The sequence below is a fragment of the Homo sapiens genome, chromosome 19 (assembly GCF_000001405.40).
Source record: "Homo sapiens chromosome 19, GRCh38.p14 Primary Assembly".
NCBI classification, from domain to species: Eukaryota; Metazoa; Chordata; class Mammalia; order Primates; family Hominidae; genus Homo; species Homo sapiens.
The window spans coordinates 42,984,859-43,006,189 of NC_000019.10; the positions used below are offsets into that span (position 1 = coordinate 42,984,859).

Consider the following 21,331-nt stretch of genomic DNA (forward strand, 5'->3'; position numbering starts at 1 on the left):
CCTGGGGAAGTGTCCCAGGAAAGGGCAGGGGGACAAAAAAAGGTCACAGTGATTTGCCTCCAGACACTGGACACTCTTCCCTGGAGAGTACAGGGCATGCTCCTCTCCAAACCTGATCTTGCTACATTTGTGCTGCCCACAGTAGTGGTGCCACTGAGTTTTCAAAGAAGACAGCAGGCCCTGAATTGTGCAAGGAAAATAAGTGCTTGAATTTTGTAGCATGCATGCAGTGTTCTACTTTTAAGAATGGTACCAGGCTCCTCTGATATTCAAGAAAGGCCCCCAACAGCTCAGATGGTAGTTTTCTAATCCTGTCTTCCCACATGCACATTTACCTCCTCCACCCAAGAACTGAATAACAGACATGAGTGCTCAGGACGTCATGCTGTCTACTGTCATCCCCTTCCTAAGACCCCCTCTCCCCATCTCTTGACACCCCTGTTCTTAGCTCCCTCTTTCTTTCTGGCCTGTTACACTCAACCTCTCCAGCATCCTAACAAGTACCCACTCAAACCTATTTCCTCCCCTGCTGTGCTGCTTCTTCAAAAGTGCTTTGCTTCTCATCCTCACCTTCTTTCCTTGCCCTCTTCCCTGCTTCCCTCTTCAAAGCACTTCTCAGCTACAAATGAGAAGGAAGGGATCTGATTAAACAGGCTATGAGCAGAGTCATGTTCTGAGGAGATTTGCATTTTTAAGAGGAGATTAATGACCACATCTGACAATGTGACCCTGGAATCTTATGCAGAGTGATAGGGGATTTGGGATGAGCTCCGTTCAGGGTAGGAAGCGAGAGTTTGGATCTGAAATACTTTTCAGATGCTGAAGTCATAGGAGCTTGCAGTTGCTTCCTGGGCAGAGCCATAAACAAACATCTCTTCTGCAGAGTGGGGGCTGAGAAGATGGAACAGTGACCCAGGAGCTATGGAATTATCTGGCCATGTTACACTTGCAGGACTACACACATTTAAGTGAAAAAACATGCTTTTCGTCCGCCTGGCTGACCTCTTAGCCTGCTCTCCTCTTATTGTTCCCTTGAAGGCATCATTTTTTGAAAGAGAAATTTAAACCCTGTCCATCTCATCTTCTTTGGAAGAAAGTTAAGATTCCTTTCTGAGGTCTTTCATCATCTGGAGTTTAAAAGCTTCCTCTCCTCTATCAACTCTCTTTGAATCCCTCATGTCACACCAAACTTCAAAAGAGACAAATACTTTTGCATGATTCCCTGCAGGCTCTGTTTTGCCCTGTAGTGACAGCCCCATGTCTTCGCTTTCCTGACTGGAAAAACTTCTCAAGCTTTCTACATTCATGATCTCCACTTCTTCAGTGCAACCTTCTCCAGTTTGTCTCTGATCTCCAATGGTCCCTGCATTAATCTTGTCCGAGCCACAGGTGACCCTCGTATCATCTCAGCTTCTACTTCCCAGTCTCTCTCTGTTTTTTTTTTTTTTTTTTTTGAGACAGGGGTCTCACTCTGTTACCTAGGTTTGTCTCAAACTGTTGGGCTCAAAAGATCCTCCGACCTCATCTTCCTGAGTAGCTGGGGTAGGGGTGTGAGCCCTTCTGCTTGGTCTCCAGTCTTTGCTTTTCTTTTTTGACCTATACGTTTGGTGGTTGATGTCCATGTTCATGTAATTGTCTTCTCTGGCTTCTCAGGGCCACCATGCATTCCCTTCTCCCTCTTTTCATTTATTATCTTTTCATCTAGTAAAACCCATCTTCCCCTAAAGATGTATATTTTCCTCAAAGCAAGGATTGGCGTACCTTCACAAACTGAGTCTCCAATGACAACACAAACTGAAATGCAATATAAATCATGGACAGATGTGAGCTCCTCTTCTACTTCCTGTGTCCTCTGCTGGTTCTTCTCACCAACATCACGTATTGCTAAGTAAGCCAGTGATGTCAAGTTAGAAAATGGACTGAGTCCATTAATTCATTTGGCACGCTCCAAAGTCCTCACCTGAGATCTATCTACTCTCCAAATAATTACACTTCTTAGAAATACAGGAAGATCCTTTTCACATGAGCTAATTAGGGCGAATACATGTAAGTGTTGGTAAGAAGTACTAGAAATACTGGAATTTGTGAGATTTCATTGAAGAACCAACTTCCACCCAGCCCTTCACATTGTTCTCTTTCGGTAGTTTCTTGTCATTTCCTCCTTTTACTATCAATAGGGCTGCTGTGAACATGCATGTACAAGTTTCTGGGTGGACATATGTTTTCATTTTTTGGGGGGGAGTAGATATCAAAGAGTAGAATTGCTGGGTTGTATGATGAATGTGTGTTCTAACTTTTCAGAAACTGGGCTTCTACTGCTTCCTAATTTCACCTTCCACGCCATTTCTGTAGTGAGGCCCACTCCTTGGCCTTACAAGACCTGAATTAAGTTAGGTGCCAGAGTCGTTCTGTCATTGACTCTGTTCTTTCCCTTGCTAGCCTGTGTAATAATTGGCAGTCAGACCTTTACATAAGCAAGGGTTTCATATGTCTCCCCAGTTATATTACAAGTTCCACAGGGGCAGGGCTATGTCTATCTCCTTGACCTCTGAATCTGCGATGCCTGGCAGAGGGCTGTGGACACCGGTCACCCTCCATAAACACTGGGAGACAAACAAGGGAGTCAGTAGAGTTATTTTTTTGCTTTTCTACCCCCAGAACTGTTAGAATATGATTTGAGCTATTCCTTCAAGGAAGTCCTGGGGCAGGTGATCATTCATAGATGATGTGAGGGAGTGCACAGCACATGAGTTTGCAGGAAAATGCAAACCCCACGTTGAAATTTGATCCCCAGTGTTGGAGATGGGGATTTACAAGGGGGTGTTTGGGTCATGGGGGTGGCTCCCTCATGAATGGCTTGGTGCTGCCCTCATGGTAATGAGTGGGTTCTCTACTCAATCCTGCAAGAGCTGATTGTTAGAAAGAGCCTGGCACCTTCCTCTCCTCTTTCTCTTTCTCCTGCTTCTTCTCTCACCATGTCATCTGTGCACACAACAGCTCCCCTTCTCATTCCACCATGAGTGCAAGCTCCCTGAGGCCTCACCAGAAGCAGATGCTGGTGCAATGCTTCTTGTACAGCCTGCAGAGCTGTGAGCCAAATAAACCTCCTTTCTTTATAAATTATCCAGCCTCACTCAGGTATTCCTTTATAGCAATGCAAAACTGACTAAGACAGGGTATCAGGAGACCTAGATTTGCCTGCATCTGAGAACGTCATCAGGACTCTTGGAACAATTTAGCCCACAGTTCCAAGGTTGATTTTTGTCACAGCGAAGTTCAGGTAGTAAGAATTCTCACTGGTGGCTGTTGAGGGTGGTGGTGGTGGGGATGGGTCATATGGAGAATTAGCAGTGGGAGACTAGAAATTAAAGTGGAGAAAGGGAAGAATTAAAAGTCAAAAACAGTGTGAGGGAGGAAAGCAATGGATATAACACCTCGGATCTTTATCCTTGAGAGGCCTTAAAAATCTACTTAATAATCAGATGGTATTCTATAAGAACTTTGAGACTAGACATGTGATGACTTTTAGGAAACTGCCCTGGAGCTGAAAATGCATGCAAATCTAGCTGACTCAGCTCCAGCCTTAACTGGCTCATAACTTGTTTCATAAACATGACTGTATGTTAGCAAGGAAATGAGAGAGAATAACAGCACATCACATAGGCATGAAAAGTATTTGCAAAGCAGCAGTTCTCAAAAATGACATTTTGCAGAGTTTTCCAGAAGCAGATTCAGAAAACTGAAGACCAAAGTAATGAGGGAGCTGTCTCATGCCTAGATGAGCAGAAGCATACCAAAGGCTTAGTATTTCCCCAAGTAATAGGCACCTGAAACTTATTTAAGGAAAATACTCTTCTTGATGAAACAGGCACTGCAGTTGAAGCAGGAATGTGTTTGGTGTGCTGCCTTAAATAGCATGGGTAGATGTTCAAACATGTTAGGACTCACTGGCCCTAGGAAAGACCCGCAAGTATCTGGTCTACACCAGGAAATTGACAATGAAACACCAAACACCTTTTCTCCTCTAATTACCAAGAAAAGTATTTCTTTCCCAATGGTGGAAGACAATAATGTTGGGAATGATGAAGTTTTCTGGAGTGTGAAGTGGATATGTCTTATAAGTTTAATCCACAGCTTCACCACTTCATAAGTGGATAATCGAATTGTGCCTCAGTTTCCTCAGACTTGGGGATATTAAGAGTACCCTCAGTCACCACAAGGTGGGTACCAACATAAGAAAAGGGTATAGCAAAAGCCCAGGGGTGCATGTTCTTAAAGTGCCTAGTGTGGGATTAGAATGACAAGTGGTAGATGACTTACTTGTGCAGAAATTTAGAGTTATTTTGTGATTTTCAAATGATCATGGGTGCTTTCCATATGCTGTCCAGACTGGGGGTGCTGCAGCTAGAAAGGGAAGAAGGTTTCCGTATTTCCTGAGACTGGAGTCACATCCTCTCACCAATGCACTCACCTGCTGACTAACCAGTGTACTTCTGGGAATTGCAAATGCATGAAATGGCACCCATTCTAGACTAGTCACAGCAGTGTTTTTGATGGCCACAGACCAGGAACGACCCTGATGTTTATCCGTAGGGAACTAGGTAATGAGCCATGATCCTCATCATGGATACTGTGCAGCTGTGGCAAAGAATGAGGTATCCTTCTGTCTGTGCACCGGGAAAGGTTTCCAAGATACACTGCACAGTGAGAAAAACAAGAAGCAGAACAATGCACGGTGTGCTACCTCTTGCATTACAAAGGAGGAAATGTAAAACTAATTTACAAATGGCCAATAAGCACATGAAACGATGCTCAACATCACTAATCATTAGGAAAATAAAAATCACAACTACAGTGGGATACCACCTTACATCCATTATGATGGTTGTTCTCAAAAAAAAAAAAAAAAAGAAAAACAGAAAAGAAAAATGTTGACAAGGAGGAGTTGGAACGCTTGTGTAGTGTTTGTGGGTATGTAATATGGCGCACCCACTGTCATCGTTTCTCAAAAAATTAATCATAGACTTACCACAAAATGCAGCAATTCAGCTTTTGGTGTATTCCAAAAAGAATGGAAAGCAGGGACCCCAGCAGATATTTGCCTGTGTTTGTTCATAGCAGCATTATTTATAATAGCTAAAAGTTGGAAACAAGCCCAGTGTCCATCCATCGTGAATGAATAAACAAAATGTGGTCTATACGTGCAAATGAATGGGATTCAGCTGTAACAAGAAGGGTGGTTCTGACGCGTGCTTCAACATGATCAAGCCTTGAGTTCTTTCTGCTAAGTGAAATAATCAGACTCAGAAAGACAAATATTACATGATTCCACTTGACAGAGGTGCCTAACGTCATGAAATGCATAGACGGAAAATGAACAGGTGGTTGTCAGTGGCTGGAGGGAGGGGGAAAGAGGAGTTGGCGTTTAATGGGTATAGAATTCCAGTTCGGGAATATGAAAAAGTTCTGGGTGGGGATGGACAGTGGTGGTGGTTGAACAACAACCTAAATGTACTTCCTGCCATTGGATGTACACTTAAAAGTGGTTAAAATGGGCCGGGCGAGGTGGCTTACATCTAATCCCAGCACTTTGGGAGGTCGAGGTGGGCAGATCACAAGGTCAGGAGATCGAGACCATCCTGGATAACAAGATGAAATCCACTCTCTACTAAAAATACAAAAAATTAGCTGGGTGTGGTCGCATGCACCTGTAGTCCCAGCTACTCAGGAGGCTGAAGCAAGAGAAGCGGTTGAACCCGGGAGGTGAAGGTTGCAGTGAGCTGAGATCACGGCATTGCATTCCAGCCTGGGTGACAGAATGAGACCCCTTCTCAAAAAAAAATAATAATAAAAAAAAGAAAAAAGAAAAGAAAAATTGGTTAAAATGGTGAATTATATGTTATATATATTTTATCAGAATTTACAATAATTCCTATTGTTTTGCATAAAACAGCTGTAGAAAGCTTTGCAGGTCATGAACAGCACAGCTGGCCACTGGGGCTGGTGTGGGGCTAGGACCTGGTTGCACAGGGAACAGGGATGAGACACAGGCTCTTCATGCCTGCACATATATACGGATACACACAGATGCAAATTTCTAAGCCATCTAAATACAACACCTATTCAAAAAATCAAACAGAAAAAGGAAATGTTATGGAGGTGAAGGATGAGGGTAGGTGGGGTGGCTGCTCAGGACAGTGGAGGCCACATCACGCAACCTTCGAGGCCTCTCTTAGCTGCTGGAGCACATCCCAGGGACTTGGGAGCTCTGGAAAGAGGAGCAGGAGAGGGCCATGGCCGGAGGAGGCCTGAAAAAGATCATCTCTGCCACAGAGAAGAAGCTGGCTCAGATGCTTGTGGCCACTGTGGAGACAGGGAGACCCAGGGAGACAACAGTATTCACTCAAGGAGGAATGGGTGGTGATGCAAACTTGGGTGGAGGCCACAGGGTGCAGAAGACAGGACACAGCAGAGAGTGATGTAGGACATGGAAGGGACAGAAAGGAGTGACCACCGGACATAAAGGGGCAAGGAAAGTGGAAGCATGAGAACATCTGCTGGGCATCTGGTGGAGGGATCAGGTTCCCAGGGTGCCCATCCCTAAGGGAGAACCCAGGATAGGAGCAGATTCAGAGAAAACCACCCAGCTCACTCCAGCAAGAAGCAGAAAAGGGACTGGTTAAAGGACAGGGTAGGAAGGTCACCAAGCTCCAAGGGCCCTCATGAATCCAGCTTGTAGGCCACAGGGCCCAGGGCAAGGACCAAACCACAGGCACAGGACAGCTCCGGCCAAGATCTTCTGGCTACTGCAGGAGGCAGAAACCACACCCTACACCCTGCACTGCTGAGGCTAGCCCTGGAGTCCAGAAGCTTCTGCACCAGAACCTTTGGTCCCCCATCCCCCTCAAAAAATTAAAAACAAAAAGCAAATCGGTGCCATGCACACTCTGTTTCCTGGTGCTGTTCTGGATCCTGAGTCTTTCATGGGAGCACCTGATGGGGAAAGCCTGGACCTGTGTTGGTGTCCCTCCTGCAAGGAGTGCTGGGACAATGAAATTTCTGGCTTCCTCCTTGGGAAGGCAGAACATTCCCCATGTGTACTGGTGGCATTTAAAAACTGCAGGGCAGCCAGAGAACATGCACCGTGTTCCACCAGGAGAGTTTCTGGCGGGTTGTCCCGGTGCAGACACCCGTCCCAAGGTGGGTATTTGAGCTGAGGAACTGAGAAGCCGGTTTCTGCCTAGAGTTAGAGATCCGAAAGGCATCACCACATGGAAGGGAGGAAAGCTACGATGCCTTGAGGGTGGGAGATCAGATGAACCAGGAGAGGCAGGGCCCGGGAGGAACCCCGGGGAGCAGCCGCCTTTAAAGCCTGGGGGAAGTAGCTTCAGAGAAGGTGGGGTAGGTTTGTGTGGGGGGTGCTGGAAAAATATAATTAAGAAAGAAATTTCTGCTCAGTCCAGAAACCCCTGTCACATCCGTAGAAGTAAAAGAAACCTGTGTTATGATTGAGTAACCATTAAGCCAAAATGTGATGCAATCTGCTAAGAGATGACAAAGACAGAAAGAAATCCCACCTTTGTATCCAGCCAAGCAGGTGCAACCCGTTACACATATGGTCTCCAGATAGATGGTGACTAGTTCCCAGTTGAGAGGACTCAATGGCCCCATTTGTCACACATAGTTCATCCTAAATTCACCCAGTAACTGTGTTGGTTCTCTGTGAGGTTAATTGGCTTTATCCACAGGAAAAACAAACCTCTCTTATCTATGACAGGAGGTAGTTTTGCAACTGGGAATGAGATGCCCCCAGAACTGAGGTTCCTTCCTTCTCACAGAAACTGGGAGACAGGGGCGCTTTCTGGCCAGATGCCTGCCTTTCAAAGAGATGGCTCCTATGGCCTTGAGGAGGATAGTTCTGGGTTGTGAGGCAGGCAAGATGCTTATGTATGTTTAGAAAGCTTTACATACATCTTCAAGGGACAGAGAAAGAATTTTCAATTACACCTCTTCTAAAAAAAAAAATGCTCTCAAAGTCCAGCCTAGGCAACATAGCAAGATCTTATCTCCACACACACAATAATAATAATAAATTTGCTGGGCATAGTGGGGTGTGCATGTAGTCCCAGCTACTCAGGAGGCTAAGGAGGGAGGATCACCTGAGCCCAGGAAGTTAAGGCTGCAGTAAGCTTGGATGGCACCACTGCACTCCAGCCTGGGTGACAGGGATGGCACCACTGCCCTCCAGCCTGGGTGACAGAGGGAGGCTCTGTCAATAAATGAATGAATGAATAGAAAATGCTCTGAGTGAAAAGAGGAGAGTCTCTTTATCTTTTTGCAACAGGCTAAACAAAATTTTTAGAATGTATATTTGCCTCACAGAGATTATTCCAGGAAAAGAAGTGGCCCTCAGTGTCAAAGGATGCAAAACTAACCTGTGAGTTCCTGGCAGGTTTAGCAATAAAGCAGGATGTTTCTGATCTCAGTACAAGCAATGTTAGAGAAAGGGGAGGATGGAAGTGGACGTGGACCAGTGAGTGGAAGGTGACAAATGGAAGCAAAGGAACGTATCCAGACCATTGAAGATGCTTGACCGAGAGGAAAGGGGCGGTGGAGGGAACGGAAGCCCGAGGAAGTCATTTGTTGCAATAAGAGGCCTCAGAGCACGTGTAGGGTGCGGGGCAGAGCCCATGCAGAGGGGCTGTGGAAGGCTGGCAGGGTGCAGGTGGCCCCACTCTCTGTCACCCTGAGGAGTATGTGGTCAGAGTTAAAGCTCAGTCTGTTTCTGGGATCAGGTAAGAGGTCAGCGTCCGGAGAAGGGAGGTGGATCTTCAGATCCTGCAGACCTCCACCGCGCCCTCTGTCCCTCTTGACTGCTTTTTCTCCATCTCTATTGTCTGGCTCACATTCCTGTCACGTCTTCCTTTCTCCCTACCCCTCTTTTCTCTTTTCTCCTCTCTTTTTCTTAACCCTTGTACCTTTGGAAGTCCCACTAATAGAATTTAAACAGCTTTTCAAGTTGGTTTTTTGTTCCCAGAAATTGACATTAGACTCTCCATGAATAATGTAGAAATCAAGAGTATAAGCTGGTTCATGTCTCTGCAAATAAACAAATAAAATCTACATTCCAATGCTTTCTTCTTCCAGAGTAGCCCACATTTGATATTTGTTTTTAATTACTGTCACTTGCGATAGATTTTTAAATCTTGTAACCTGGTTACACAAATACCATGGGGCAAAAGCCTTACTTCCTGTGAGAGGAAACCAGGCTTGACTAGCCTCATGCTGGCTTTGAAGAAGTAAAATCAGGGGTTGATGAATTTGCATAGGGTAAATATCAAAGGTCGAAAGTCAACAATAGGTGATAGAGGGAATACCCCAAATTACAAAAGAACAAACTGTTTAAGCCACAACAGAATTATCGTAGAAATAAACCACGGTCCTTCCTGCTAAAATATTCCACTTAGAATTGTAAAATATTCTTCTCAATAACTCCTGGAAGAGCCTATTAAGAAATTAGTGAGGCTGGGTGCGGTGGCTCACACCTCTAATTCCAGCACTTTGGGAGGCCTAGACGGGCAGATCACCTGAGGTTAGGAGTTTCAGAGCAGCCTGGCCAATATGGTGAAACACTGTCTCTACTAAAAATACAAAAATTACCCAGGCATGGTGGCAGGCGCCTGTAATCCCAGCTATTCGGTAGGCTGAGGGAGGAGAATCGCTTGAACCCAGGAGGTGGAGATTGCAGTGAGCCAAGATGGCGCCACTGCACTCCATTCTGGACGACAGAGTGAAACTCCGTCTCAACCAAAAAAAAAAAAAAAAAAAAAATAAGAAATCAACGAATGTAAGAGCATCTATGTTCCAAATGCAGTGTATTATTTTATGCAGGTTTTCACAAGCTCCAAAAGATTCACTGTGCAGAACTGGAGGTTCTAGAGAAAGACCACGCCTCCTCCTGCAGGTAACTCTTCATTCAGGAAGCAGCTCTTGGCTTATCCCTGGGCTTAGTGGAATTCGAATACCTGACCATAGGACACCAAGGGCTTTGGGACCTGAGTGGCACATCATGTCCTGGTGACATCTGAGTTACCTGGGGCGTGCACAGCAGCCTCCAGCATCCCAGGGAGAGCTGTGTACGGGGTCAGGCTCAAGCGGGTCCCAGGGCACCAGTGACCCAATGGGTGACTCAGACTCCCATGGCACCTGCTCCTTCTGTTTCTCCCTCCGCCGTATATATGAGCTCATGGGAAGTGCTGTGACCTCTTACAGAGGAGGAAAGTGCATGGACTTCCAGCTTCTAGAACTGGGATACAATAAACTCCTCTTGCTTGTCTATTCCTCTGCAGTATTTTGTCATGGCAGCCCTAGCAAACTACTACAGGGACTGTGGGGGTTAGGATGACACCAAGCATCAAATGCCACTCCCTGTTCCAACACTGAGACCATTCCACAGCCCCTGAATGACAAGACAGGCCTTCAAGCTCAAGACTACTTGGCTAGGTAAGTACTTTAGTCACACCACTTCTGAACTTTCTTGCCTACCTGCAGGGCAGGAATTTTTACCATTTTCAAATGAGGACACTGAAGCTCAGAGAAGTGATGCTATTTCCTGATGGATAAGAGGTGATATATTTCAGTCCTCAGACCAACTCTGAAGTAGCAAGCTTCTAGTCTTAAGAGTCAAACTTGGCTGGGCATGGTGGCTGAAGCCCATAATCCCAGCACTTTGGGAGGCCGAGGTGGGTGGATCACCTGAGGTCAGGAGTTAGAGACCAGCCTGGCCAACATAGTGAAACCCCGTCTCTACTAAAAATACAAAAATTAGCCGGGCGTGGTGGTGTGTGCCTGTAATCCCAGCTACTCAGGAGGCTGAGGCAGGAGAATGGCTTGAACCCGGGAGGTAGAAGTTGCAGTGAGCCAAGATTGTGCCATTTCACTCCAGCCTGGGGAACAAGAGTGAGACATCATCTCAAAAACAAAACAAAACAAAAAAGAGTCAACCTCGAGCCAGGCACGGTGGCTCATGCCTGTAATCTCAGCACTTTGGGAAGCCGATGAAGTCAGGAGTTCGAGACCAGCCTGGGCAACATGCTAATACCCTGTCTCTACCAAAAATTTAAAAATTAGCTGTGTATGGTGGCTCATGCCTGTAATCCCAGCTATTTGGGAGGCGGAGGCACAAGGATGGTGTGAACTCAAGAGGTGGAGCTTGCAGTTAGCCAAGATTGCACCATTGCACTCCAGTCTGGAGTGCCAAAAAAAAAAATCCATCTCAAAAAAAAAAACACAAAAAGAATAAATATGGGGCCTCATGACTGTATATTACTGGGCTTCTGACCTAGACTGAAAGATCAGGGAAGAGTTTCCTGAAGAGAAAGTGAGCTATGATGGGCCCACTGTACTCCAGCCTGGGCAACATAATGAGGCTCTGCCTCAAGAAAAACATGCAGAATAAAACCACAAAAAGATACCACTACAGAACTATTAGAATGGCTAAGATTAAAAAGAATGACCACGCCAAGTTTTGGCAAGGATGTGGAGGCACTGGAATGCTCACGCTGCTGGTGGGAATGTAAGATGGTACAATATCTATGGAAAGCAGTCTGGCAGCTTCTAAAAATTTCAGCATACACCCACCATGCCACTCGGCAATTCCATTCCATTCCCACATTATTTTTATTTAAAGGAAAATCAAGTGGAATGATCTTTAAAGCATTTTTGCCTGACAAATACATGAAATGTGGGTAGCAGCCCAACACTCCCTGGTCAGTCTTCACAGGGCATATGTGGCCTCGTGGCCCCCAGGAAATATGGCTCTTTCCACAAGTGCTAAGTCCAGTCTCTCCATCAATCCTAAGATGTTAGTTCCACAGCACTGCCAGCATGGGGCTTTGTCTATTTCTTTCTTTCTTTGTCTTTTTTGAGAGGGGTCTTGCTCTGTCATCCAGGCTGAAGTGCAGTGATGCAATGTTCGTTGTAATAGCTCCCATTTCATTTCTAATTGATCTTATTTGGCTCTTCTCTCTTCTTTTCTTGGTTAATCTTGCCAATGGTTTATCAACTTTATTTATTATTCCCAAAAATCAGCTTTACATTTTATTTATATTTTGTATTATTTTGTTTCAATTTCATTTAGTTCTACTCTGATGTTGGTTATTTTCTTTCTTCTGCTGGGTTTGGGTTTGGTGCATTCTTGTTTCTTGAGTTTCTAGAAATGTAACCTTAGATTGTCTATTTGTGCTCTTTCAGTCTTTTTGATGTAGGCATTTAATGCTATAAACTTTTAGCACACTCTTTGCTGTATTCCAGATGTTTTGATAGGGTGCGTCACTATTGTTCAGTTCGAAGAATTTTTAAACTTCCATCTTGATTTCATATTTGACCCAATGATCATTCAGGAGCAAGTTATTTAATTTCCATGTGTTTGCATGGTTTTGAAAGTTCCTTTTGGAGTTGATTTCCAGTTTTATTCTACCGTTGTCTGAGAGAGTACTTCATATAATTTCAATTTTCTTAAATTTATTGAGACTTGTTTTGTGGCCTATCATATGGCCTATCTTGAAGAAAGTTCCATGTGCTGATGAATAGAATGTATATTTTGTGGTTGTTGGGTAGAATAGTCTGTAAATATCTCAAGTCTATTTTCTCTAGGACATAGTTTAAACCCATTGTTTCTTCCTTGACTTTCTGTCTTGATGACCAGTCTAGTGCTGTCAGTGGAGTACTGAAGTCCCTCACAATTATTGTGTTACTGTCTATCTCATTTCTTAGGTCTAGTAGTAATAGCTATATAAATTTGGGAGCTCCAGTGTTAGGTGCATATATATTTAGGATTGTGATATTTTCCTGTTGGATAAATCCTTTTATTATAATATTTTATTATTATATAATGTCCCTCTTTGTCTTTTTTAACTGCTGTTGCTTTAAAGTTAGTTTTTTTGATATAAGAATAGTTACTCCTGCTCACTTTTGTGGCCATTTGCATGGGGTGTCTTTTTCTTACCCTTTAACCCTTTAAAGTGTTTATGTGACACTTTAGGGTTAGGGGAGTCTCTTGAGGGCAGCAGATACTTGCTTGGTGAATTATTATCAATTCTGCAATTCTATATCTTTTAAGTGGAGCATTTAGACCACTTACATTCAATGTTAGTATTGAGATGTGAGGTACTGTTCCATTCATCCTGCTATTTGTTGCCTAAATACCTTGGTTTTATTCATTTATTTATTGTATTTTTGTTTTATAGGTCCTGTGAGATTCATGCTCAAAGAGGTTCTGTTTTGATGTGTTTCCAGGATTTGTTTCAAGATTTGGGTTCCTTTTAGCAGTTATTGTAGTGCTGGCTTGGTAGTGGCAAATTCTCTGAGCATTTGTTTGTCTGAAAAAGACTGTTATCTTTCCTTTATTTATGAACTTTAGTTTTGCTGGATACAAAATTCTTGGCTGATAATTTTTTTTTTTTTCTGAGATGGAGTCTTGCTTTGTCACCCAGGCTGGAGTGCAGTGGTGCGATCTCGGCTCACTGCAACCTCCACCTCCTGGATTCACACCATTCTCCTACCTCAGCCTCACCAGTAGCTGGGACTACATGCGCCTGCTACCAGGCCCGGCTAATTTTTTTTTGTATTTTTAGTAGAGACGGGGTTTCACCTTGTTAGCCAGCATGGTCTCGATCTCCTGACCTTGTGATCCACCCGCCTTGGCCTCCTAAAGTGCTGGGACTACAGGCGTGAGCCACTGCACCCGGCCTGATAATTTTTTTTTAAGGAGGCTGCAGATGGGTATGCATGCTCATTGGAGGTGAGCATTCTTCCCTTATTGAAGATTACTAAAATCACATGTATTGAAAAGCATTTGGGATTATTTACTTAATTGATGAGTACTCATTTATTTTTACATTTATTTGATACCACGTATAAAAAAGTATGGACATATACATATGTGATATGCGATACACCATAGAACATATACATGTGCACATAAAGATAGAGGGAGACAGAAATACTTCAGATTTTTTCTTTTAAAACTTTTTGCATGAACCCATAAAACTCACTGTTAAAAAAAACAGCTGGATTTAAATTGTGCTTTTGCAAAAAGCAAAAGTTAACATTTAATTGAGGAAGCCCTTGCTGAGTTTTAGAGAAAGTAGGTAGTAAATTTACATCTCAAAGCACACACACACACACACACACACACACACACACAGAGAGAGATAGAGAGAGAGAGAGAAGGAATTTGGGTGTGTTCAAGGAAGATTAAAAGTAGTTGCCAAGGTAACACAAAAATGATAGAAATTTATAACAGGATTTTATAAGGAGACCAATTTTATTTACATATATAGCTTTTATTTTGGTCTCTGTTTTCCAACTGTACTCCAGGAAACACACTACACAGGCTCCCTTCTTAAGTGCTGGTGGGCCACTGCACATGCAGACAGCCCACTTTAAGGGAAGAATCAGGGGAGAAGAGATGCAGACCCCAGAATTATGCCAACATACAAAAGCCTAAGTCAAAGGTCAAACCACACACTTGAAATCTCATCGCCTGTTTGGCCCTGTTTTAAGTGTACTTTACTTTCTTTAATTTCTGCTCTAAAGCTTTTAAATAAACTTTCACTCTTGCTCTAAAATTTGCCTGTCTCTTCTTCTGCTTTATGACACTTAGTTGAATTCTTTCTTCTGAAGAAGCAAGAATTGAGGCTGCAGCAGGCTTGTACAGATTTGCTGCCATTAATATAGTTTAGTGCCATTCTACATGATAGAATATATATATTCTTATATTTATATATATATATATATATAAAATTTATGTATTCATAGAGGCCTTGAATCTACATTCTTGCTGCACTTTATGTAAACAATCCAGGTATAAGACTAAAACTTATTTTGGAAATACATTGGTCCCATATGATTTCTATTTCATAAAAATGGGAGACAGGAGGGGGAAAATTATTTTTCAGAAGAAAACAACAGAACAATGGTTATTGAATTTTAGATCTGTTCATTTTTTTTTAAATTTTGTTATTTACCTACAATTTGGACTGAATCCTAAATTTTTTCCTGGCTCAAATTTCAAAACTAATGGTTTCAGAATTTTCTTCCATTTTTCTTCCATTTTGGTATATTATAAATTAAAACTGTGATTTTTAAATTTTTATCTTTTTTATTACACTTTTAAGTTCTGGGATACATGTGCAGAATGTGCAGGTTTGTTACATAGGTGTACATGTGCCATGGTGTTTTGCTGAACCCATTAACCCATCATCTACCTTAGGTATTTCTCCTAATGCTATCTCTTCCCTAGTCCCCCACCCCTCAACAGGCCCCAGTGTGTGATGTTCCCCTCCCTGTGTCCATGTGTTCTCATTGTTCAACTCCCACTTATGAGTGAGAACATGCAGTGTTTGGTTTTCTGTTCCTGTGTTAGTTTGCTGAGAATGGTGTTTCCAGCTTCATCCATGTCCCTGCAAAGGATATGAACTCATCCTTTTTTATGGCTGCATTGAATTCCATGGTGTATATGTACCACATTTTCTTTATCCAGTCTATCATTAATAGGCATTTGTGTTGGTTCCAAGTCTTTGCTATTGTGAATAGTGCTGCAATAAACATATGTGTGCATGTGTCTTTATGGTAGAATGTTCTATAATCCTTTGGGTATATACCCAGTAATGGGATTACTGGGTCAAATGATATTTCTTGTTCTGGATCCTTGAGGAATCGCCACACTGTCTTTCACAATGGTTAAACTAATTTACATTCCCACCAACAGTGTAAAAGCGTTCCTATTTCTCCACATCCTCTCTGGCATCTGTTGTTTCCTGACCTTTTAATGGTCACCATTCTAACTGGCATGAGATGGTATCTCATTGTGGTTTTGATTTGCATTTCTCTAATGACCAGTGATGATGAGCTTTTTTTCGTATGTTTGTTGGTCACATAAATTTCTTATTTTGAGAAGTGTCTGTTCATGTGCTTTGCCCACTTTTTGATGGGCTTGTTTGTTTTTTTTTTCTTGTAAATTTGTTTAAGTTTCTTGTAGATTCTGGATATTAGCCTTTTGTCAGATGGATAGATTAAACCTTGCAAGCTGAAACTTGACGACTTATGTAAACTTCTGGAGAAATCATAGCAACTTATATATAAACAACCTTTGTGCCTGCTGATGTGTGGACTACACAAAAGGTACACATGAACACTGTATTCAGACTGCAATTCAGAAAAATGTGTCAGATTGCCATTGCAATTGGAAGACACTTCAGAAACTCTAGAAAACCTAGTCTATACAGTTAGAGCGATGTTTGCCAAATGAATTCCTCTAATTGAAGCAGCAGTTGTGTGACTTTAATAAGGTTCCAGGATTATACTGTCCCTTTTTTGCTGTGACTTCCCTTTGCCCTTTTCTGAATTGTCTTCATCCCCTTTTCCACGGGGCATGACTTCTTAAGAATGAGCCTTCCTAGTGATGTAGGATCAGATGGAACATACAGTCACAAAGTCATGTCTTCTACAATGATTTCTCTGAAAGCTTTTGAGGAATTGAGGGGCCAGGTGTGCTGGCAGAGGCCTGTAATCCCAGCACTTTGAGAGTCCAAGGCAGGAGGATCACTTGAAACCAGGAGTTTAAGACCAGCCTGAGCAACAAAGGGAGACCATGTCTCTACAAAACATAAAATAAATCAAATTAGCCAGGTGCAGCGGTGCCTGCCTCTAGTCTCAGATACTTGGGAGGCTAAGGCTGGAGGACCGCTTCAGCCCAGGAGTTCAAGACTGTAGTGAGTACACTCCAGTCTGGGTGACAGAGCAAGGTTTTTTCTCTAAAAGAAAAAAAAAAAAGGAAAGGAAAAGAATAGGGTAAACAGGAAAGCCAAAGATCTTGGGCATCTCCAGATGTTTGCCTGAACAAATTGTTTTTTCTTGGCTTCAAAACCTTTCAAGATGCATATTTCTTTGTAAAAGAAGGACATACGAATCGTAACTTTAAGTGAGCAATCAAAATCTAGGTCCTAAAACTGAAGTATTTTAACTCTCATTCTGATAATATTTATTTTCTGAGGCAAAGAAGAAAGACAAGATTAGATCAATTGTTTCTCTGCCCACTCCATCTCTTCCAACTTGCCTTGTCCCCTTTAATCAAATGTATAAATACTAAGCCTCCTGAAACGTCTTCAGAGAAAACACAAGCCACAGAGGTTTTTTGCAACTCATGTATTCCCAGGGTGCACTGTCAAGCTCTGGCTCAATAAAACTCAATTGGTCAAGACCCTTGCCTCAGTCAGTCATTCTGGATAACCACCATGAGTCCTGCAAAGCCCTTCAGTAATCTATTGCCTGCCTAGGTGATGTGTACCTAGGTGAGTCAGATCTTCATGAGTCCAACACTCGTCTTCCTTTTCTGTCTTTCCCAACCCTACCACTCAGTGCTGTGTGCTCTGATCTGACCCCAGCTCCCAGGTTGTTTGTATTGGTCTAAGAAAGCAAGACCAGGAGGGGCAGGTTGAGAAGGAAGTAAGAGGCCAACTGCCATGGAAAGTGGCAGGTGGGGCTGTCATTGCTCAAAGCCACACACTCTGGGTGCATTTTATGAATTTTTCTGGATTCATAATCTTCTCCCTCTGTGTCTATCTAGAAACTCACCCTCCTCCTACTTTCTTCTCATTACTCTTTCTGTTTCTAGTGCACTCATTTATGGCCAGAGAATGGCCATGCAAATAGTTGACAATAGAATAAAAAATGACATTTTGTGAGACTTGGAAGCTGGCCTTTCTTTTTTCTAAAAGAGATTGAGGTTTCTAAAAGCTAGCTTTTATGGAGGGCTGTGCAGTTATGATTGTAGTTTTACAGAACAGGTGCATAAGTGAAGGGTGAGACAGAAAACAAAATGCTGGCTGTTTGTCAAATCCTGAAAGTGAATGGGACAAAAATCATGTTTGAAGGAGGATGTCATTCAGGAGACCTTGTACATCTTAGAGTGTCCTCTTACCAGATGAAGTGGAGGATGAGGTTGAATTGTGGGGTTAGGTGACAGTGGGTACATACTTCTCTGCCTCAGTTTTTGTTTTTTTTAATCTGTAAAAATGGGGATTGTGGCACTTGGGATCTTTTGGTGAGGAGTGTAGTTACCTGGAAAGCTCTTAGGATAGTGCCTGGTACATAGTGATTCCTGCATCAGTGTGAGCTATTATAATTATGGGAATAGAAAAAGGTGCCACCCTGGACATCCAGAGTGGGGAGATGTTTTCCAGTCAGGGTCCAGGCAGGCCAGCTGGAGACGAAGCTGATTAGTGGGGAAGCTTAACTTCCAGGAGTGGAAGAATTTAGGAGGAGTAAACAGAATGCACAACATACTGTAAACATTCCTTTACCCAACAGTAGGAATACTCAGAGTGGGTGTGTCTTCCGTGGCAATCATTATCTCCTGGGAATCTAAGAATGTGTCCTAGAGTCAAATGGCTTTGATGTAAGCCAAACCCAGAAATGGGCTTCAGGGCTGCCTTGCACATAGCATTCATTCATCTTGAAAAAGGAAAGCATTCATCTTGCTAAAGGAATCCCCTCTTCTGGCCCAGACCATTATTTTTGTTTTTTTACTATCCTAATTTTAAGATGTAAGGAGAAAGACTGAAGAACAAAATAATGAAGTACATGAATGAAATAACAGGGTAGAATTGAGACTGGTATGTGTAAGTTAAGAGAAATTGTGTATAAATTTTGTGTGAACAGAAAATTGATTTCTTGTTGCAAACAGACCTCTCTACATAAATAATACCTCCTGCCTTGAGTGGATAGCAGACCTCATCACAAGAACATTCCAGCAGAGTCATGAGAGAATGGGTAGTGTGGCTTCTTTAATTGGCAGGTTAGACTGAGTAAGTTACTGAAGAGAAAGAAGTTGAAGGAGAAGATGGGTGAGGGCAAGAAAAATGGGAAGGTGAAAGGAAAGGACTGAAAGGAATGTTTACCAAGGGCTCATCAGGTACCAGGCTCTGTGACTAATGTCTTACACATGTTAATTTACTCTTCCACTGTCATTTTCTGATGCGGTAAGAGTCAGTCTTACACTACAGGTGAGGAAAGAGGCTGAGGGAGGTCAAATGAGTGGCCCAGGGTCATCCAGCCACTTCATAGCAGAGCTAGTGTGTTTCACTGTGGTTTGTGCAGACAGAAAAGTGAGACATGGAAGGAAGGCAAAACATTTTTGTTGTGGGTGATGTTTATGAAAGTGACCCATATGAGGCAGAATAATGGCCTCTTAAAAATGTCCACATCCGGGCCGGGTGCAGGGGCTCTCACCTGTAATCCCAGCCTTTGGAAGGCTGATACGGGTGGATCATGAGGTCAGGGGTTCGAAACCAGCCTGGCCAACATGGTGAAACCCCATTTCTACTAAAAATGCAAAAATTGGCTGGGCGTGGTGGCACATGCCTCTAATGCCAGCTACTTGGGAGGCTGAGGCAGGAAAGTCATTTGAACCTGCAAGGGGGAGATTGCAGTGAGCCCAGATTGTGCCACTGCACTCCAGCTGGGGCAACATGAGGGAAACTCTGTCTCAAAAAAAAAAAAATCCACATTCTAACTCTTGGAACACATGCATTTACTTTTCTTGGCAAAAACACTGTACAAAGGTGATGAAGTTGAGTATCTTGAGATGGAAAGCTTATTCTGGCTTATCTATGTGGCTCCCAGTGTCATCATAAGAGTCCTTGTAAGTGAAAGGGAAAGGCAGGAGGGGCCGGGTGAGAATGATGAGGCCTGAGAGACTCCACTGGCCGTTGCTTGCTGTGAACATGTGTGATAAGACAAAATTACAACTAATTTAGTTATAGATGTAATTGGCTTTTATTTGTGATTTATGATTTGGGGCAGCTCTCCCTCTACAGATGCCTCAGCATCCCAAGTAGCTGGGACTATATTGCAGGATCTGACCAGAAGCCTGCAATGCAATGGGGCTCTTTCTTTGTTCCCAGGCAGATCGGCAGGTTGAGAAATAAAAGGCACACACAAGATAGTGAAAGCCATATCGAGAGGGGTCACCGCCTTCTGGTCCTGCAATGCTGCCAATGCACTGGATATACCAGCATTTATTATTAAGTTTAGTGAGAGTGGGGATAGGTTACTGAGGGATTTAGGGTTATTTATAGGCTCTCCACAAGGGTCACATTCCATTCCCAGAGCTATGGACATCTGCTTTTCTGGGATAGGAATCTTGGTAATGTGAAACCTCCCTGACTGCATGTCCGTTCATAGGCTCTCTGCAGGGGTAAGCACATCATGTGCTGTTAGCTCATTCTGGCAGCCCAACCTGGCATTTGTCTTTACACAATCCTGCATGCAGTTTCATATTTACAATAATGAGGAGCATTTCATCTTTTATTCCGTAGCAATAGTTTCAGGGGGTCTCCCTACATCTCCCCCTTTTCTCTGATTTCAATGAACCATAGCAATCATAGCTTGGCACTGATCACGATTGGATTGAAGAATATTTTTTCCAATTTTACACATGAACAATAAACCAATAGCACAAACTGTCTAAAACTTCAGCACTGGGTAAAACAGTTAAGAGTGCTTGAGAAGCTTCAAAAATCTGTTCTTTTAGCTTCCTTATGTCTAAACTTAAATTATCTTCACTTCCTTGTAAATGGCATTTTACGATTCCCAATTGTGAACAGACTCATTATATTGGAATGGAGTTATACAAAAATCAGAAGTATTCCAATCACGTTGCATTTGTAATCTATGTTCTAATCTCATAATTCTATCTCCCATCCATATAACAGAAGCACATCACGCGCTGTAGGCTCATTCTGGCAGCCCAACCTGGCATTGTCTTTACACAATCCTGCATGCAATTTTGTATTTATCATAATCAGGAGCATTTCATCATTTATTCTATAGCAATAGTTTCGGTGGGTCTCCCTACAGGACTACAGGTGTGCACCACCATGCCCAGGTAATTTTTGTATTTTAACTAGAGACAGGGATTCACCATATTGACCAGGCTGATCTTGAGCTCCTGACCTTGTGATCCACCTGCCTTGGCTTCCCAAAGTGCTGGGATTACAGATGTGAGCCACTGTGCCTCGCCCATAAATCACACATTTCTTTGAGTTTTTGTAATTCCAGCACAAGAGAAACCATTTGATGTTTGAAGAATGGCTGCACACAAATAAAAACATCTGTGGATTGCGCCACACGAGGGAGACTACCAGTATGACTATCAGGAGGAAAATATCGAGTTTGGTATATACACCTTAGGCAAGATGCAAACCAACTACAATAGGATAGATCAAAGAAGAAGCCAGAAGGGTCTAGTCATTTTAACCAGGCAGCA

The 21,331-nt window shown here is 43.0% G+C and overlaps 1 annotated feature.

The window, feature by feature from the left end:
* Positions 8,567-8,763: a silencer, noted in NCBI's record as "fragment chr19:43497577-43497773 (GRCh37/hg19 assembly coordinates)". NCBI's record gives its function as "represses an EF-1alpha promoter that drives an FKBP-Casp9 reporter gene in an ReSE screen in HepG2 liver carcinoma cells {active_cell/tissue: HepG2}" and the evidence as "EXISTENCE:reporter gene assay evidence [ECO:0000049][PMID:32094911]".